The following is a 16,041-nucleotide window of genomic DNA, read 5'->3' on the forward strand; positions in this document are numbered from 1 at the left end:
ACGCTGCTGCCCCTTTCTTTTTTTCAGGCGGCCGGGAAGATGGCGGACATTCAGGTGCGGACTCGGGGTTGGATGCCAGGGTGCGGGGTCCGCCTTGGCCTTCAGGGGCGCGTCCGGGAGGGCAGAGCCCGGCGGCCAAGTTCGGGGGTTAATTCCGGGCGTCCGTGATTATTTTCTAGAGATTAACTGGAGTGGAGGGCGCTTGCTTTTGTTTCTAGATGAGTGCTTCCTAATTCCTGGGGGCTCCTGGCGTTAATGGAGGCTCAAGCGTTTTAGGACTTACCTTCTTAAAAACCAAGTTTAAGAAGGTTTTTTTGGAGTTCTCCGGTCTTCAGGGGTAATTCTGTGGAAACGGACTCCTAAGGGCTAATCCAGGGAGCCTGCCGTCTGGTATTTAATTCTGAATCCTTATGTACTACATAAGGAGTGAATCCTGGGTGGGCGATCTTGGGTCTTGGAGAATGATCCTCGCTGAAAGGTGTCCAGGGTGTGAGAGGGTTGATCCTGGTTTAGAGGATGAATTTTGCAATCCCTGAGAGGCCTTCTGGAGTATATAAATTGAAATAACCTCGGGCTTAGATCTGAGTATGAATTACAGGTAAGGTCAGGGTGGTCATGTCTTAGAGGGTGATTCTGGGGCACCAGGCCTTGGACGCCGGCGCTTTGCAAGTAAATGTAGAGCATGGGGTCTGGGAGGTTCTGGGAAGGTCTCTAGGGCTGGTTGGCTGCCGGCTTCAAACTTAGCAGCTCATCAGTTTTCTCCTCATAATCTGTAGACTGAGCGTGCCTACCAAAAGCAGCCGACCATCTTTCAAAACAAGAAGAGGGTCCTGCTGGGAGAAACTGGCAAGGAGAAGCTCCCGCGGTACTACAAGAACATCGGTCTGGGCTTCAAGACACCCAAGGAGGTGCGGGGAACCTCAGAAGAAAGAAGGGGAACCTGGCGTTCCTGCACGTGTGCCCACGACGAGTTGCCCTGCCTGCATCTAAGTGGCTTCTGGGGCTGCTGGGAATTGTAGTTGCTTCCCTGAGGCCACGCCCCTGGCTCTTTTAAGGAACCGCCCGCCCAAGGCTCACTCCTTTATCTTTCCTATCCTTTCAGGCTATTGAGGGCACCTACATTGACAAGAAATGCCCCTTCACTGGTAATGTGTCCATTCGAGGGCGGATCCTCTCTGGTAAGTGCGGGAGTTACTGGTGTCTGGGGCCTGAAATACTGAAAGAAGGGTCTTGGGGCCCAGACTCCTGGGTCCTGGGTGAGAGGGGTGGTTAGGAATGCAAACTTGTAGGTCCAGGTACATTGGCAGATGATGTTTGTTTTCACGATGGTCTTCAGATGCCCACGTGGGCACTGCTGAGAAAGCCACTTGGTAAAACTGATGCCGGAAATGGGGCTTTTTGGGATCCCTGCTCAGCTGCTTCTGAGTCCCAGCATGCCCTGGGTTACCTATGGCCCTCTTTCCCATGGGACCTGACCTATGATCGGCCCCCGCTCCTAGGCGTGGTGACCAAGATGAAGATGCAGAGGACCATTGTCATCCGCCGAGACTATCTGCACTACATCCGCAAGTACAACCGCTTCGAGAAGCGCCACAAGAACATGTCTGTACACCTGTCCCCCTGCTTCAGGTGAGCGCAGTGGCCCATCAGGTTGCTCAGGCCACGCTCTCTCAGCCTTCAGATTCCAGATCGGACCAATTTAAGGCCAACTGAGGGAGGGAAAGACTGAGGTGGCATCTCTGGGAAGCCCCAGAATCTCAGGATTTGTATATCATATGTTCTTCAGAATCAAAGCGTTCTACAGGGTGAATATCTCTACCTGAAATGCTTGGAACCAGATTTTGGAATGTTCTCGCATACATAGTGAGATGTTTTGGGGATGTGACATAGGTCTAAACAAGAAGCTCATTTGTTTCATATACACCTTATTCACATAGCCTGAAAGTAGTCTTACGCAGTGCGTTTTATAATTCTGTGTGAAACAAAGTTTGCGTACATTGAACCATTGGAAAGCAAAGGTGTCACGCTGGTATTGAAGAAGTTTCAGATTCTAGCCAGGCACCGTGGCTCAAGCCAGTAATCCCAGCACTGTAGGAGGCTGAGGCAGGAGGATCCCTTGAGCCCAGGAGTTTGAGACCAGCCTGGGCAACATGGCAAAACCCTCTCTCTACAAAAAATACAAGTTTGCCAGGTGTGGTAGCATGTGCCTGTAGTCTCAGGTCTTCAGGCGGCTGGGGTGGGAGGATTGCTTGAGCCCAGAAAGTGGAGGCTGCAGTGAGCCGAGATGGCAGCACTGCTCTCCGGCCTGGGCGACAGAGTAAGACCCTGTCTCTCCCACACACACACAAATTCAGATTTTGCAGCGTTTCAGAATTTTTGGATTAGGGTGCTGAACCTGTAATAGGCAGGTGCGTTTGAACCAAAAGGTTAGGATGTCATACCAGATGGGAACCTCAGAAATGTTGGAATTAAACGTTTGTTCATTCCCTCAGCATGTTTTAGTTAGAGCTTATCACGTACCAGGTGTGGTGTGAGATGTTTGGGGTTCAGTGGTGAGCCAGGAACAAAGTCCTGCTCCCTCAGAGGGCACCTTCAAGCAGTGTGGGTGCCAGATGACAGCCAAGTATAACCAGAATGGGGATGTGGGCAGCTGATATTGGTGGCCCTCTGGGCGGGGAGGATCTTGGGAGCAAGGTGAGGAGTCCTGTGGGTGGAGAGGAGGGTGGCCCAAACTGATGCTGAGCGATAAGGGACCTGTGGTTGTCAGTGCTGCAGGATCCCCCTGCTGCTCTGCTGGGGAAGGGTGGTGAGGCTGCTGACAACTTGGGGGCCTCCAGTTTGCTTGTGAAATGGAGCTCGTCCACCCCAGCGGTCCTCGGAGGGGTGGTGGCCTGCTCTGTGTACAGCGTTGAGCTTGGTGCTTGGCACAAAACTTGTACGAAAGGAGGGGACAGGTTGAATTGGCGAGTAGAGCTTGGTTGGGGTTTGGTGGAGCCGAAGCAGAGAGCCTTTAGCCTGGTGAAGGGGAGGGAGGGCCTCCTGGGGTCTGCTGGGGTGGCCCCTCCTGAGGACATGGCCCTACCTGCCTCCACAGGGACGTCCAGATCGGTGACATCGTCACAGTGGGCGAGTGCCGGCCTCTGAGCAAGACAGTGCGCTTCAACGTGCTCAAGGTCACCAAGGCTGCCGGCACCAAGAAGCAGTTCCAGAAGTTCTGAGGCTGGACATCGGCCCGCTCCCCACAATGAAATAAAGTTATTTTCTCATTCCCAGGCCAGACTTGGGATCTTCCGCGCCTTTACCAGAGCATTGGTGGGGGTGGGGGTGTGCCTCGGGGAATTGGGCAGAGCTGCTGTCAGAGAGGCTGCCTGCCCATGTCTGTGGGTGAGGACAGTGGAGCCTGAACTGAGATGCCTGCCTTCCCCTGGGTCTCCTTCTTTGGTCCTTGTCACCTTTTCGGTGTCTGAATAAGGCTGATTACCTGGCGTTGCGCTGTCCCCCCGCCCCCTCCGGTCTCTGGGGAGGAAGTGAGTGACGGCGGAGGCCCCTGGGTCCTCCAGGCCCTGGTCTGTCTCTTTCCTGACCACCTCGGGTGGGGAGGGGAAGAAGCTGCAGCCCCCCCCTGCTGTGGGCATGGGCTCACCCAGGTAGAGTGGGATGTGCTGAGGCCCTGTTGTCTGGCTGTGAAGTGTAAAGGTCTTGGCTTTAGCCTGGGCCTCCTATCCCTCCTTACAGCCAAGGATGGGGGCCCCATGCACGCACCACACACGCCTAGTTGGGCACCAGGCCTATCTGCAGATGAGGAAACTCATCTGGGAGAGGCCAAGCCCTCCACCTGAAGTCCCAGTGAGTAGCTGAGTTACAGGTCTCAGATTCTAGAAACTTCCTCTGCGCCAGCTGCCTCAAAATCGCAGTAAGGAAATTGGTGGTGTGGGCAAGTGGCATCATGAGGCTCCCCTGGAGCCTGTTCAGTGGTACCGGGGCCCAGGCTGCTGGGAAGGAAGTGGGCAGGAAGCGTCCGGAGACGGCCCAACACACACAGGCCGCAGAGATGGGGGCCTTGAGAGGAACAGGACAGGACACACGGTGGCCCAGGGTTGTGGCACATGGGGAGGAGGGGTTTTGCAGAGCTGGGGAGAGCACAGACCACCGCGAGAGGCAGGTACAATAGAAACAGGTGTACTTTGCGCATCACACAGAGGTGGGGACGACAGGCATGGGGTGGGGGCGGTGAGGCAGGAGCGCACCAGAGGATATGTGGGACCCGAAGGGGAGAGACGCATAAAAGCCGCAGCAGAGATGGGAGTACAGGGAGGGGAGGTCCCAATGCCCGCTCACCTCACCCCTTGGGGCCTGCCGGTGCCGGGGTCCCCAGGTCCCTGTCCCCCAGGCCTGTACCAGGGTCTGAGCCCAGCACTGGTACAAGGGTTGGGAGACAGGGCCATGGGGAGAGGAGCCGCCGCTGCCGCTGCTGCCTCGGGGACGCTGCCTCCCCGTGGGCCCAGTCCCTGCCTTATACCCAGGTCCAGGGAGGGCGGGGGTTCCTGCCAGAGGAAGTGGGGCCGCATCAAAGAGGGCAGGAAGGGGCAGGGACAGGTTGGGGGGACGCCACCCTGAGTCGCAGAAACTGCACACCCACTCCACCCTATGCTGGGGGCAGTAGAGAACCAGCAAGGGGCAAAGAGGGAGTGTGGACTCCAGAGGGAGGGGACGGAGACCCAGAGGGGAATAGGAGGTTGCGGCCCCCTCCCCTCAGCCGCAGGTGTTTCCGTTCGGGTGGGGCTGCTGTGTTTACAACAACAGCCCGGCTCCCCGGTTTCCTCCCTGATTGTTGGGGCGTCTCCTTGGCACCCCATCACGTCAGGTGGTGTGCTGAGGTCAGAGTGTGTGCTGGGGAAGGACCTCTGCTGGGCCTGCTGGATTGCAAAGAGCAAGTTTAAAAGACCCCCTCGGACCTCTTGACAGGCCTTCCACCTGAAGAGTGGGGATAAGGACCATAGGTTCTTTTTATTTTTTTATTTTTATTTTATTTTATTTTATTTTTGAGGCAGATTCTTGCTCTGTCGCCCAGGCTGGAGTGCAATGGCGCGATCTTGGTTCACCGCAACCTTCGCCTCCCAAGTTAAAGCGAATCTCCTGCCTCTGTCTCCTAAGTAGTTGGGATTACAGGCATGCACCACCACACCCAGCTAATTTTTTAATTTTTAGTAGAGACGGGGTTTCACCATGTTGGCCAGGCTGGTCACGAACTCCTGACCTCATGATCCACCCATATTGGCCTCCCAAAGTGCTGGGATTTTACAGGCGTGAGCCACTGCACCCTGCCCACAGGTTATTTGATAACCCAAGGAGATACAGTTCCTAGGTCAGCGGGTTCCCCTGTCTCCCCTCCCACCTGCTCTCCCTCTCACTCAGCCCCACACCCCCAGCACCCACCAGACCTGCTGTTCCTCTGAGCCTCCTCACCATCTGTTCCCTCTATGTGGAATACTCTGACCTGGAGTTTCCACCTGGCTCCCTCCCTCACTCTCTTTGTCTTTAATTAAGTGAATGAATTAATTTTTTTATTTGTTAATTGTTTATGAAGAGAAACTATTTCTTAGCCCATATATTCATGTGTCATCGTTCAGGAACAAGTCAGTGACAAACTTCTAGGTAATTCAACCTGAAGAAATTCTTTATATTCCAAGATCATTGCACTCTGAAAGATACCAGCCTTCCAGCCAGGTGCAGTGGCTCATGCCTGTAATCCCAGCACTTTGGGAGGCCAAGGTGGGTGGATCACGAGGTCAGGAGTTCGAGACTAGCCTGACCAAGATGTGAAACCCCGTCTCTACTAAAAATACAAAAATTAGCCAGGCACAGTGGCAGGCACCTGTAATCCCAGCTACTCCGAAGGTTGAGGCAGGAGAATCGCTTGAACCCGGGCAGTAGAGGTTGCAGTGAGCTGAGATCGCGCCACTGCACTCCAGTCTGGGTGACAGAGTGAGACTCCATCTCAAAAAAAAAAAAAAAAAGATACCAGCCTTCCTCATCTCAAAATCTTTCATGGAATCGTAATTTCTGTAGAAATCTGCATATGCCTTCTTTCTTGGTTCAGCCACAGCAAACATATAGAAAGCTGCAGCCCCCAGGGATACCATGGATGCTTCAACAATATGAAATCACAGACGCTTGGCCAGAAGGCCACACATCTGAGGCTTTGGCAAAACTTTGGAAGCCATGGTAGTTACTGTCCTTGATAACGTATGTCAGCCTCAATACCAACGTCCTTCCTGACTGATGGAAAAATGGATGGTGAAGGAATGAATTATGTGAAGTTGCCACATTCTGGCTGGGGGGACCTTGACCCCTAGGCTTCAGGGGCTCAATAACTGGAAGCAGTAAAGCTGAGCCAGAGGCCCCAGAGGTAGCAGAGACCCGCCGAGGCTCTTTTCCAACTTCTGGCCCTGTAGCTCCCTAGCTGTGTGTGACCTTGGACAAGAGACCCACTCCTCCACCACAGAGCCTCAGTTTCCTAATCTGTAAAATGGCTTCTTGCCTCCCTGCCCTATTGGGAGGATCAATATGCTCATGTGAGCCAGGTCCCGTGGCTCACGGCTGTAATCCCAGCACTTTGGGAGGTTGAGGCAGGCGGATCACTTGAGGTCAGGAGTTCAAGACCATCCTGGCCAATGTGGCGAAACCATGTCTCTACTAAAAATACAAAAATTAGCCAGTGTGATAGCGCGCACCTGTAGTCCCAGCTACTCAGGAGGCTAAGGCAGGAGAATCGCTTGAACCTGGGAGGCAGAGGTTGCAGTGAGCCGAGACAGCACTCCACCTAAGCAGCAGAGGGCGACTCAGTCTCAAAAAAAAACAATGCTCGTGTGTGATAATGGGACAGAACCAGTCCTGATTAAGTGTACACTGGAAAGTAACAATGCCGGGGGCCCTCAGCTTGGTGTTGGAGAAAGGCCCATAGTGTCATGTTACAGCATCCTGTGGGGCCCCTTGGGCAGGCTTAAGGACCAGGGCCTCTGGCAGGCAGCCCTTGCTGTAATGGACCCACGGTTTTTATTTTAATATTTGTTGTATGGTTGCGGAATCCTGGCTCCATTACAGCAAGCCCTGGTAGTTTGTCACGGGATGTTGAGTCTGTTTTAGCATGCCTCTGGAATATTCTGTCGAATACCTATTATAGGGGGCCCCAATGGCCTTGCCTTTTCACAGGAAAGTTAGCTTTTATAGTGGGGTTCTGGGTTTATAATGATAGCGGTCAGGCCAGGTGCCGGGGCTCACACCTGTAATCCCACTACTTAGGGAAGCCAGGGCAGGAGGATCGCTTGAGCCAGGAGTTAGAGACCAGCCCGAGCAACAAAGGGAGACTCCTGTCTCTATTTAAAATATATTAGGCCAGGTGCGGTGGCTCATGCCTGTAATCCCATCACTTTGGGAGGCCAAGGCAGGTGGATCACGAGTCAGGAGTTCGAAGCCAGCCTGGTCAATATGGTGAAACCCCATCTCTACTAAAAATACAAACATTAGCCAGATGTGTAGCGGTGCCTGTAGTCCCAGCTACTCGGGAGGCTGAGGCAGGAGAATCGCTTGAACCTGGGAGGCAGAGGATGCAGTGAGCCAAGATCACACCACTGCATTCCAGCCTGGGCGACAGAGTGAGACCCCATCTCAAAAAAAAAAAAAATTTTGCTGGGTCTGTAGTCCCAGCTACTCGGGAGGCTGAAGCAGGAGGATCACTTGAGCCCAGAGGTCCGAGTCTATAGCAGGCTAGGATGACACCACTGCACTCCAGCCTGGGTGACAGAGTCAGACCCTGTCTCAAAGAAAAAAAAAAGACAGGCATCAAACCTACCGTGTGAAAACAGGGCAGGTCTTGATTATCTTGTATTGCGGCCCTGCACCTCCTGCAGCAGGTCATGGGTCTGTGATATTAGAGCCGGATGGCCATCATTGCTGCAGCCTCCTGTGGGCTATTATAATACTAAGTAAGGCCTTGGGCTCCTGTGACAGGCCCTGCTGATATTACATGGTTGCAATACTCAGGTTAAATTATAGGCCAGCCCATGGCTACATTTATAATTATATAATATAAAATATGTGATCGGCCGGACGCGGTGGCTCACGCCTGTAATCCCAGCACTTTGGGAGGCAGGTGGATCACGAGGTCAGGAGATCAAGACCATCCTGGCCAACATGGTGAAACCCCGTCTTTACTAAAAATACAAAATTTAGCTGGGCGTGGTGGTGGGCGCCTGTAGTCCCAGCTACTCGGGAGGCTGAGGCAGGAGAATCGCTTGAACCCGGGAGGCGAAGGTTGCAGTGAGCCGAGATTGCACCACTGTGCTCCAGCCTGGTGACAGAGCGAGACTCTGTCTAAAAAAAAAAAAAAAAAAAAAAAAGTTATTTATATAGGAGGCACCTGAGCTCATTGAACTAGTCCCAAGGTGTGTGAGTGGAGTCTGGAAATTGAATTGGAGTGTGTTCCAGGAGTAGTTAAGCAGACCCACTGCCGAGTGTCAGCACTACCCTGAGCCCAACAGGAATTCCTGGGTCTAACACTGTAGTAGGTCCTGGCTCTATTACGTATTATAGCAAGACAGGCCAGGCACAGTGGCTCAGACTGCAATCCCAGCACTTTGGGAGGCCAAGATGGGAGGCTCTCTTGAGCCCAGCAGTTTGAGACCAGCCTAGGCAACATAGGAAGACCCCATCTCTACAAAAAAAACTTAAAAATTAGCCAGGTGTGGTGGTACGTACCTGTAGTACCAGCGACTCGGGAGGCTGAGGTGGGAGGATCGCTTCAGCCTGGGAGGTCGAGGCTGCAGTGAGCTATTATCATGCCACTGCATTCCAGCCTGGGTGACAGAGTGAGACCCTGTCTCAAGAAAAAAAGTAAAAATAAAAGACCGATGGATGTTTCAGAGGTCAGTATAGATTTAGCTAGAACATTCTAGCAGAACACCAACGATGTTCTAGATGAGTTTGAGGAACACATCAAGCCTTCCCAGGGACATTCATTCTACAAATGTTTATTGCGCTGTTCCCCAGGGATGGCTGCAAGAGTGAGCAAGACAGCTCCAGCCAGAGCCTGGTGTCAGAGCCTGCAATCCAGTGGGATCCCTGGGGGCCCAGCCTGGCTGCGGAGTGGGGGCGTTAACAGGAACCGGGGGCTACTATGGACGCCCTGTGTGCCACGTGGAGCCTTTGGCCTGCTGAAGCCTCTAATGAAATAGTAGGTTGGGCCGGGCATGGTGGCTCATGCCTGTAATCCCAGCACTTTGGGAGGCCGAGGCGGGTGGATCACAAGGTCAGGAGATCGAGACCATCCTGGCTAACATGATGAAGCTCCGTCTCTACTAAAAAAAAAAAATTAGCCAGGAGTGATGGCAGGTGCCTGTAGTCCCAGCTACTCAGGAGGCTGAAGCAGGAGAATGGCGTTAACCCGGGAGGCGGAGCTTGCAGTGAGCCGAGATCGCACCACTGCACTCCAGCCTGGGTGACAGACAGAGACTCCGTCTCAAAAAAAAAAAAAAAAAAGAAATAGGTTGGTGCAAAAGCAATTGTGGTTTTTTGTTTGTTGTTTGTTTGTTTTTGAGTCTCACTCTGTTGCCCAGGCTGGAGTGCAGTGGCACAATCTCATCTCACTGCAACCTCTGCCTCCCAGGTTCAAGCGATTCTCCTGCCTCACCCTCCCAAGTAGCTGAGATTACAGGTGCCCACTACCATGTCTGGCTAATTTTTGTATTTGTAATAGAGATGGGGTTTTGCCATGTTGGCCAGGCTGGTCTCAAACTCCCGACCTCAGCCTCCCAAAGTGCTGGGATTACAGGCGTGAGCCACCGTGTCTAGCCAGCAATTGCGGGTTTTTTGTTTGTTGGTTTTTTTCAGATGGAGTCTTGCTCTGTCACCCAGACTGAAGTGCAGTGGCACAATCTCGGCTCATTGTAACTTCCGCCTCCCAGGTTCAAGCGATTCTCCTGCCTCAGCCTCCCAAGTAGCTGGGACTATTCAGCGAGTGCCACCATGCCTGGCTAATTTTTGTATTTTTAGTAGAGACAGGGTTTCACCATGTTGGCCAGGCTGGTCTGGAACTCCTGACCTCGTGATCCGTCTGCCTCGGCCTTCCAAAGTGCTGGGATTATAGGCGTGAGCCACCGTGCCCGGCCTGCAATTGGGGTTTTAATGGCAGAAACCGCAATTACTTTTGCACCACCCTAATATAAAGACACAATTATTATCCCCATTTTCCAGATAAAGAACCTTTGGCTGGGAGAGGTGTACCTGGAAGAGTCGTGTTTTGGTTTTGAACTCAGGTGTGATTGCCCCCCAGGTCAGTAGGGGGCACTATTGTGTAAGGGTGGAGAGGAGGGGCAGCGGTTAGGTGGTTCAGGGTGCACAGCTCAAAGCTGCCTGGGGCCATTCTAGGCACAGAGGCAGGGGCCAGGGCCGGCTTTAAGGCCAGCTCCTCGTGCAGTCTGAGGAGTGGATCAGAAGGGACCAGCACCTGGTGAGTGCTCTACTTGAACCATCTTGAAACTGGAACCAAGGGGACCACATTTTTGTTTTATGCTGAGTGTGTCCTGCCATGGGCTTTTCCTTTCCCTTCCCCTTCTCCTTCCCCTCCCCCTTCCCCTTCCCCTCTCCTCTTCTCTTCTCTTCCGTTTTTTGGAGACGGAGTCTTGCTCTGTCGCCCAGGCTGGAGTTCAATAGCGCAATCTCGGCTTACTGCAACCTCCGCCTCCTGGGTTCGAGTGATTCTCCTGCCTCAGCCTCCCGAGTAGCTGGGATTACAGGTGCGCACTACCACGTCCGGCTAATTTTTGTATTTCTAGTAGAGACGGGGTTTCACCACGTTGGTCAGGCTGGTCTCGAACTCCTGACCTCGTGATCCGCCCACCTCAGCCTCCCAAAGTGCTGGGATTACAGGCGTGAGCCACCGGCGCCCGGCTCTTCCGGCTCTTCTTTTCTTTTTCCTTTTCTTTCTTTCTTTTTTTTTTTTTTTTGAGACAGGGTCACACTCTGTCGCCCAGGCTGGAGCACAGTGGCGCGATCTCGGCTCACTGAAACCTCTGCCTCCCAGGTTCAAGCGATTCTCCTGCCTCAGCCTCCTGAGTATCTAGGATTACAGGCACAGGCCACCAGGCCCAGCGAATTTTTGCACCATAGAGATGGTGTTTCGTCATGTTGGCCAGGCTGGTCTCGAACTCCTGACCTCAGATGATCTGCTCGCCTTGGCCTCCCAAAGTGCTGGGATTACAGGCATGAGCCACCGCGCCCGGCCTTGCCAGGGGCTTTCTACTGCACTATAGTGTGGACTTCAGGACATTGTAGCTGTCCTGGGGGAGCCCAGGTGACAGTCTAAGGGGGTTCTAATAGAGCCCTGGGGACATGACAGCAGGATCCCAGGGGGAGAGAGGGTGTAGTCAGGGCTCATTAGAACAGAGCCCTGAGGATCTGATGCAAGTCAACCAGCTGATGCTATAAATGGGCTCCAGAGACATTGCAGGAACCCAGGGCATCTGCAAGGGTTTCCCAGGTGGCACTAAGGGACCTTGAGGCCTTTTTCTTTTTCTTTTTCTTTTTCTTTAGGGTCTCGCTCAGTCATCCAGGTTGGAGTGCTGTGATGCAATCATGGCTCACTGCAACGTTGACTGAGACCTTTTTCTTCCGTGACAGGAAGGAGGGCTATGATGGGGAATGTCTAGGCAGACCCCTGGGAGGCCTCCTGGTTAAAGCCCCAGGCCATTACAACAGCAAGGAGAGGAGATCAGAATGGGGCAAGGAAAGACACTCCAGATGACCACGGCCAGCTGAATCATGGCCTCAGAGACGTCCATGCCCTAATCCCCCAAAACCTCTGGCTGTGGCCTTATATGGGAAAAGGGACTTTGTGATGTGATTAGGTTAGGTTCAGATGGGGAGACGATCTCGGATTATCCAAGTAGCCCTAAACATAATCACAGGACTCCTTTGGAGAGGGAGGCAGGCGGGTTGGTGTCGGAGAGAGAAGACGTGAGGACCGACATATGGGTCAGAGAGGGGAGAGGATGCCGTGCTGCTGGCCTTGAAGATGGAGGACTGGGCCATGAGCCAAGGAATGCTGGTAGCTTCTAGAAGCTGGGAAAGGCAAAAACACCGATTCTTCCCTGGAGCCTCCAGAAAGAACACAAAATTGTTGGGTGCGGTGGTTCACGCCTGTAATCCCAACACTTTGGGAGGCCGAGGCGGGTGGATCACGAGGTCAGGAGTTCGAGACCAGCCTGGCCAATATGGTGAAACGCCGTCTCTACTAAAAATACAAAAATTAGCCGGGTGTGGTGGCGGGTGCCTGTAATCCCAGCTACTCAGGAGGCTGAGGCAGGAGAATCTCTTGAACCCGGGAGGCGGAGGTTGCAGTGAGCCGAGTTCGCACCAGTGCACTCCAAGCTGGGCAACAGAGCCAGACTCCATCTAAAAAAAAAAAAAAAAAGGAACACAAAACCTGTGAGTATCATAGGTGGTCCAAGGAGCTTTACGAATGTCCTGGTAATGTTACAGCAGGGCCCTGGGGGTGGGGACGTGAGAGCTAAGGCTGGGTTATAGAGGACCCCACAGTGATGGTAGTCAGACTTCCAGGAAAAGCATAGCAGGCTCCTGAGGGACACTGTAACAGGGCATTGAGGATTCTGTCAGGGTCCAAGGAACCTTAAAATGGGGCCCAGGGGCTGCTGGAATAGTGTCCTGAAGACATTACATGATCCCAAGGAAACTAGAGGGGACAGCTAAGGACAGGGCAGTTGCCTCAGGGTATTTTGGGGAAGAGCTGAGGGTGCTGTAATTAGGATTCTTAAGAAATTAAAGCAGGTGGCCAGGCGCAGTGGCTCACACCTGTAATTCCCAGCACTTTGGGAGGCCGAGTCGGGCGGATCACGAGGTCAGGAGATCGAGACCATCCTGGCTAACACGGTGAAACCCTGTCTCTACTAAAAATATAAAAATTAGCCAGGCGTGGTGGCAGGCTCACGTAGTCCCAGTTACTCGGGAGGCTGAGGCAGGAGAATGGCGTGAACCTGGGAGGCGCAGCTTGCAGTGAGCCGAGACTGCACCACTGCCCTCCAGCCTGGGCGACAGAGCAAGACTCTGTCTCAAAAAATAAAAAAAAGAAAAGAAAAGAAGAAAAGAAGAAGTTAAAGCAGGTTCTTTCTGTCTCTTAGGAGTGGACCTTGGGATGGGTGTCACTGGATCTCCCTTCTAGTAGGACACAGGGAGAATCAGGTAGGACACAGTAGGACACAGGCAGAATGAGAAAAATGAAGACATTCTGGACAAGGAGAACAGAGATTTACCTGGTTAATTTTATGTGTCAATTTGGCTGAGCCACAGTGAGTGAAGAGATATTCGGTCAACATTATTCTGGATGTCTCTATGAGGGTGTTTTAGGATGAGATTTACATATATATTTGTGAGACAGGGTCTTGCTGCTGCCCAGGCTGGAGTGCAGTGGCGCCATCACGGCTCACTGCAGCCTCCAACTCTTGGGCTCAAGGGGTCCCCCAGCTTCAGCCTCTTGAGTAGCTGGGACCACAAGTGCGCACCACCACACCCGGCTAATATTTTAATTTTTTGTAGAGATAAGCTCTCTCTGTTACTCAGGCTGGTCCTTGAACTCAAGCGATCCTCCTGCCTTGGCCTACCAAAGTGCTGGGATTACAGGCATGAGCCACTGTGCCCAGCTGAGATTTATGTTTAGATTGTTAGGCTTTGAGTAAAGGAGGTTCCCCTTCCTGAATTGAGGGAGGCTCATCCAACCACTTGAAACCCTGAATAGAAGAAAAGTCTCGGCTGGGTGCGGTGGCTCACGCCTATAATCCCAGCACTTTGGAAGGCTGAGGCGGGCAGATCACGAGGTCAAGAGATCGAGGCCATCCTGGCCAACATGGTGAAATCCCCGTCTCTACTAAAAATACAAAAATTAACCGGGTGTGGTGGCAGGTGCCTGTAATCCCAGCTACTTGGGAGGCTGAGGCAGGAGAATCGCTTGAACCCGGGAGGCGGAGGTTGCAGTGAGCCAAGATCGGGCCATTGCGCTCCAGCCTGATGGCAGAGCGAGACTGCGTCTCAAAAAAAAAAAAAAGAAGAAAAGTCTGCCCAGAGGGAGAGGGAGTCCTGCTAGGCAATTGTGTCTCCCACCTGCTGGCTCCCCCATTAGACTTTGGGGTTTCTTTCTTTCTTTCTTTCTTTTTTTTGAGATGGAGTCTTGCTCTGTCGCCCAGGCTGGAGGGCAGTGGCGGGATCTCAGCTCACTGCAAGCTCCGCCTCCCGGGTTCACGCCATTCTCTTGCCTCAGCCTCCTGAGTAACTGGGACTACAGGCGCCTGCCACCATGCCTCGCTAATTTTTTTATATTTTTAGTAGGGATGGGGTTTCACCATGACCTCGTGATCTGCCCGCCTTGGCCTCCCAAAGTGCTGGGATTACAGGCTTGAGCCACCGCGTCCAACATTTTTGAAATTTTTTTTAAAAATAGAGACAGGGTCTCCCTATGTTGGCCAGGTTGGTCTCAAACTCCTGGACTCAAGCGATCCTCCCAACTTGGCCTCCCAAAGTGCTGGGATGACAGGCATGCACCACCACACCTGGCCCCCGCATCAGACTCTGAACCAGCTGAACGTCCACTAATCCTGGAAGCCAATTCCTCAAATGAATCTCTTTCTGTGTATGCATATACACATTCTGTGGATTCTGTTTCTCTAGAGAACCTGAACTACCTGACCAGCAGTTCCACTCCCAGATGTATGCTCAATAGAGCTGAAAACAGGCCAGGCATGGGTGTCTTGCACCTGTCATCCCAGTGCTTTGGGAGGCCAAGGTGGGAGGCTGTCTTGAGCCCAGCAGTTTGAGACCAGCCTGGGAAACATAGCAAGACACTATCTCTGCAAAAATACAAAAATTAGCTGGGCCTGGTGGCAAGTGTGTGTAATTCCAGCTCCTTGAGAGGCTAAGGCAGGTGGAGTGCTTGAGCTTGGGAGGTTGAGGCTGCAGTGAGCCATGATCGCTCCACGGCATTCTAGCTTGAGTGACAGAGCCAGACCCTGTCAAAAAAAAGGAAAGGAAGGAAGGAAGGAAGGAAGGAAGGAAGGAAGGAAGGAAGGAAGGAAGGAGGCAAGGAAGGAAGGAGGCAAGGAAGGAAGGAAGGAAGGAGGCAAGGAAGGAAGGAAGGAAAGACTTCATATTATATGATTCAATTTCTTTGAAATGTGCAGAATAGGCAAATCTATCAAGACAGAAAGCAGATGAATGGTTGCCAGGGGTCTGGGAGCAGCGGCTGTTTAACGGGGACAGACCTTCTGTTTGGGGTGATAAAAAAGCTCTGGAACTCGGATAGAGGTGACAGTTGCACAGCACTGTAAATGTGTTAAATGACAGTAAGGGTAAATATTTTGAATATTTTACCACAATGAAATAAGTGTATGGGAAGCTTTGTAGCAGGAGTGTGGGCGGGGGCTGGTGCCTGGAGGGGCCTTCGAGTGAGGCAGCATTGTATGGGGACCATGTGGTCACTGAAGTCCTAGCAGAAGGATGTGGTTTTTTTTTTTTTTTGAGACGGAGTCTCGCTCTGTTGCCAGTCTGGAGTGCAGTGGTGCAATCTCGGCTCACTGCGACCTCCACCTCCCGGGTTCAAGCAATTCTCCTGTCTCAGCCTCCCGAGTAGCTGGGACCACAGGCCCACCACCACGCTCAGCTAATTTTTGTATTATTAGTAGAGACGGGGGTGTCACCATATTGGCCAGGCTGGTCTCGAACTCCTGACCTCGTGATCCGCCCGCCTTGGCCTCCCAAAGTGCTGGGATTACAGGCGTGAGTCACTGCGCCCGGCCCGCAGAAGGATATTAAAGAGCACCTGCAGGAATTTTTTAAGGGGATGCCGGGGGAAGGGCTTGAAGGAGGAACTAAGGAGGCTTCCAGAAGATTTTGATTAACAGCGAGCGCTAGGGAAGGCCACGGGGATACAGAGGGGTAGGAGGAGGATCCAGAGACCTCCAAGTTGTGGACTCCGGAGGC

General features: G+C 52.8%; 1 protein-coding gene, 2 non-coding genes and 1 pseudogene across 3 annotated transcripts, besides 8 other annotated features; 2 read left to right on the plus strand and 2 right to left on the minus strand.

The window, feature by feature from the left end:
* On the plus strand, positions 17–3,291 carry RPS11 (ribosomal protein S11). Its single transcript, NM_001015.5, has 5 exons — positions 17–54; positions 777–908; positions 1,103–1,178; positions 1,500–1,629; positions 3,095–3,291. Exons 1-5 carry the CDS (start codon positions 40–42, stop codon positions 3,216–3,218), a joined length of 477 nt encoding a protein of 158 aa, NP_001006.1. The 5' UTR covers positions 17–39; the 3' UTR covers positions 3,219–3,291.
* Positions 753–972: an enhancer, noted in NCBI's record as "active region_14947". NCBI's record gives its function as "activates an Ori minimal core promoter by ATAC-STARR-seq in GM12878 lymphoblastoid cells {active_cell/tissue: GM12878}" and the evidence as "EXISTENCE:reporter gene assay evidence [ECO:0000049][PMID:35858748]".
* SNORD35B (small nucleolar RNA, C/D box 35B) lies at positions 1,302–1,389 on the plus strand. The gene has a single exon (NR_001285.1). It is a non-coding gene; the product is annotated as a small nucleolar RNA, C/D box 35B (small nucleolar RNA).
* Positions 2,627–3,398: an enhancer, noted in NCBI's record as "H3K27ac-H3K4me1 hESC enhancer chr19:50002301-50003072 (GRCh37/hg19 assembly coordinates)". NCBI's record gives its function as "activates a minimal SCP1, AML or CMV promoter by ChIP-STARR-seq in naive H9 embryonic stem cells {active_cell/tissue: H9 hESC(naive)}" and the evidence as "EXISTENCE:reporter gene assay evidence [ECO:0000049][PMID:30033119]".
* Positions 3,399–4,171: an enhancer, noted in NCBI's record as "H3K27ac-H3K4me1 hESC enhancer chr19:50003073-50003845 (GRCh37/hg19 assembly coordinates)". NCBI's record gives its function as "activates a minimal SCP1, AML or CMV promoter by ChIP-STARR-seq in naive H9 embryonic stem cells {active_cell/tissue: H9 hESC(naive)}" and the evidence as "EXISTENCE:reporter gene assay evidence [ECO:0000049][PMID:30033119]".
* Positions 4,172–4,943: an enhancer, noted in NCBI's record as "H3K27ac-H3K4me1 hESC enhancer chr19:50003846-50004617 (GRCh37/hg19 assembly coordinates)". NCBI's record gives its function as "activates a minimal SCP1, AML or CMV promoter by ChIP-STARR-seq in naive H9 embryonic stem cells {active_cell/tissue: H9 hESC(naive)}" and the evidence as "EXISTENCE:reporter gene assay evidence [ECO:0000049][PMID:30033119]".
* Positions 4,219–4,468: a silencer, noted in NCBI's record as "silent region_10918". NCBI's record gives its function as "represses an Ori minimal core promoter by ATAC-STARR-seq in GM12878 lymphoblastoid cells {active_cell/tissue: GM12878}" and the evidence as "EXISTENCE:reporter gene assay evidence [ECO:0000049][PMID:35858748]".
* Positions 4,295–4,589: a silencer, noted in NCBI's record as "tiled region #3785; HepG2 Repressive DNase matched - State 18:Pol2, and K562 Repressive non-DNase unmatched - State 14:Gen5'". NCBI's record gives its function as "represses a minimal TATA promoter and a strong SV40 promoter by Sharpr-MPRA in HepG2 and K562 cells {active_cell/tissue: HepG2 | K562}" and the evidence as "EXISTENCE:reporter gene assay evidence [ECO:0000049][PMID:27701403]".
* Positions 4,368–4,451, minus strand: MIR150 (microRNA 150). The gene has a single exon (NR_029703.1). It is a non-coding gene; the product is annotated as a microRNA 150 (primary transcript).
* COX6CP7 (cytochrome c oxidase subunit 6C pseudogene 7) lies at positions 6,015–6,222 on the minus strand (annotated as a pseudogene).
* Positions 6,755–7,049: a silencer, noted in NCBI's record as "tiled region #15417; K562 Repressive DNase unmatched - State 8:EnhW". NCBI's record gives its function as "represses a minimal TATA promoter and a strong SV40 promoter by Sharpr-MPRA in K562 cells {active_cell/tissue: K562}" and the evidence as "EXISTENCE:reporter gene assay evidence [ECO:0000049][PMID:27701403]".
* Positions 15,264–15,826: an enhancer, noted in NCBI's record as "H3K27ac-H3K4me1 hESC enhancer chr19:50014938-50015500 (GRCh37/hg19 assembly coordinates)". NCBI's record gives its function as "activates a minimal SCP1, AML or CMV promoter by ChIP-STARR-seq in primed H9 embryonic stem cells {active_cell/tissue: H9 hESC(primed)}" and the evidence as "EXISTENCE:reporter gene assay evidence [ECO:0000049][PMID:30033119]".

Source organism: Homo sapiens, chromosome 19 (assembly GCF_000001405.40).
Source record: "Homo sapiens chromosome 19, GRCh38.p14 Primary Assembly".
In the NCBI taxonomy this organism is placed as follows: Eukaryota; Metazoa; Chordata; class Mammalia; order Primates; family Hominidae; genus Homo; species Homo sapiens.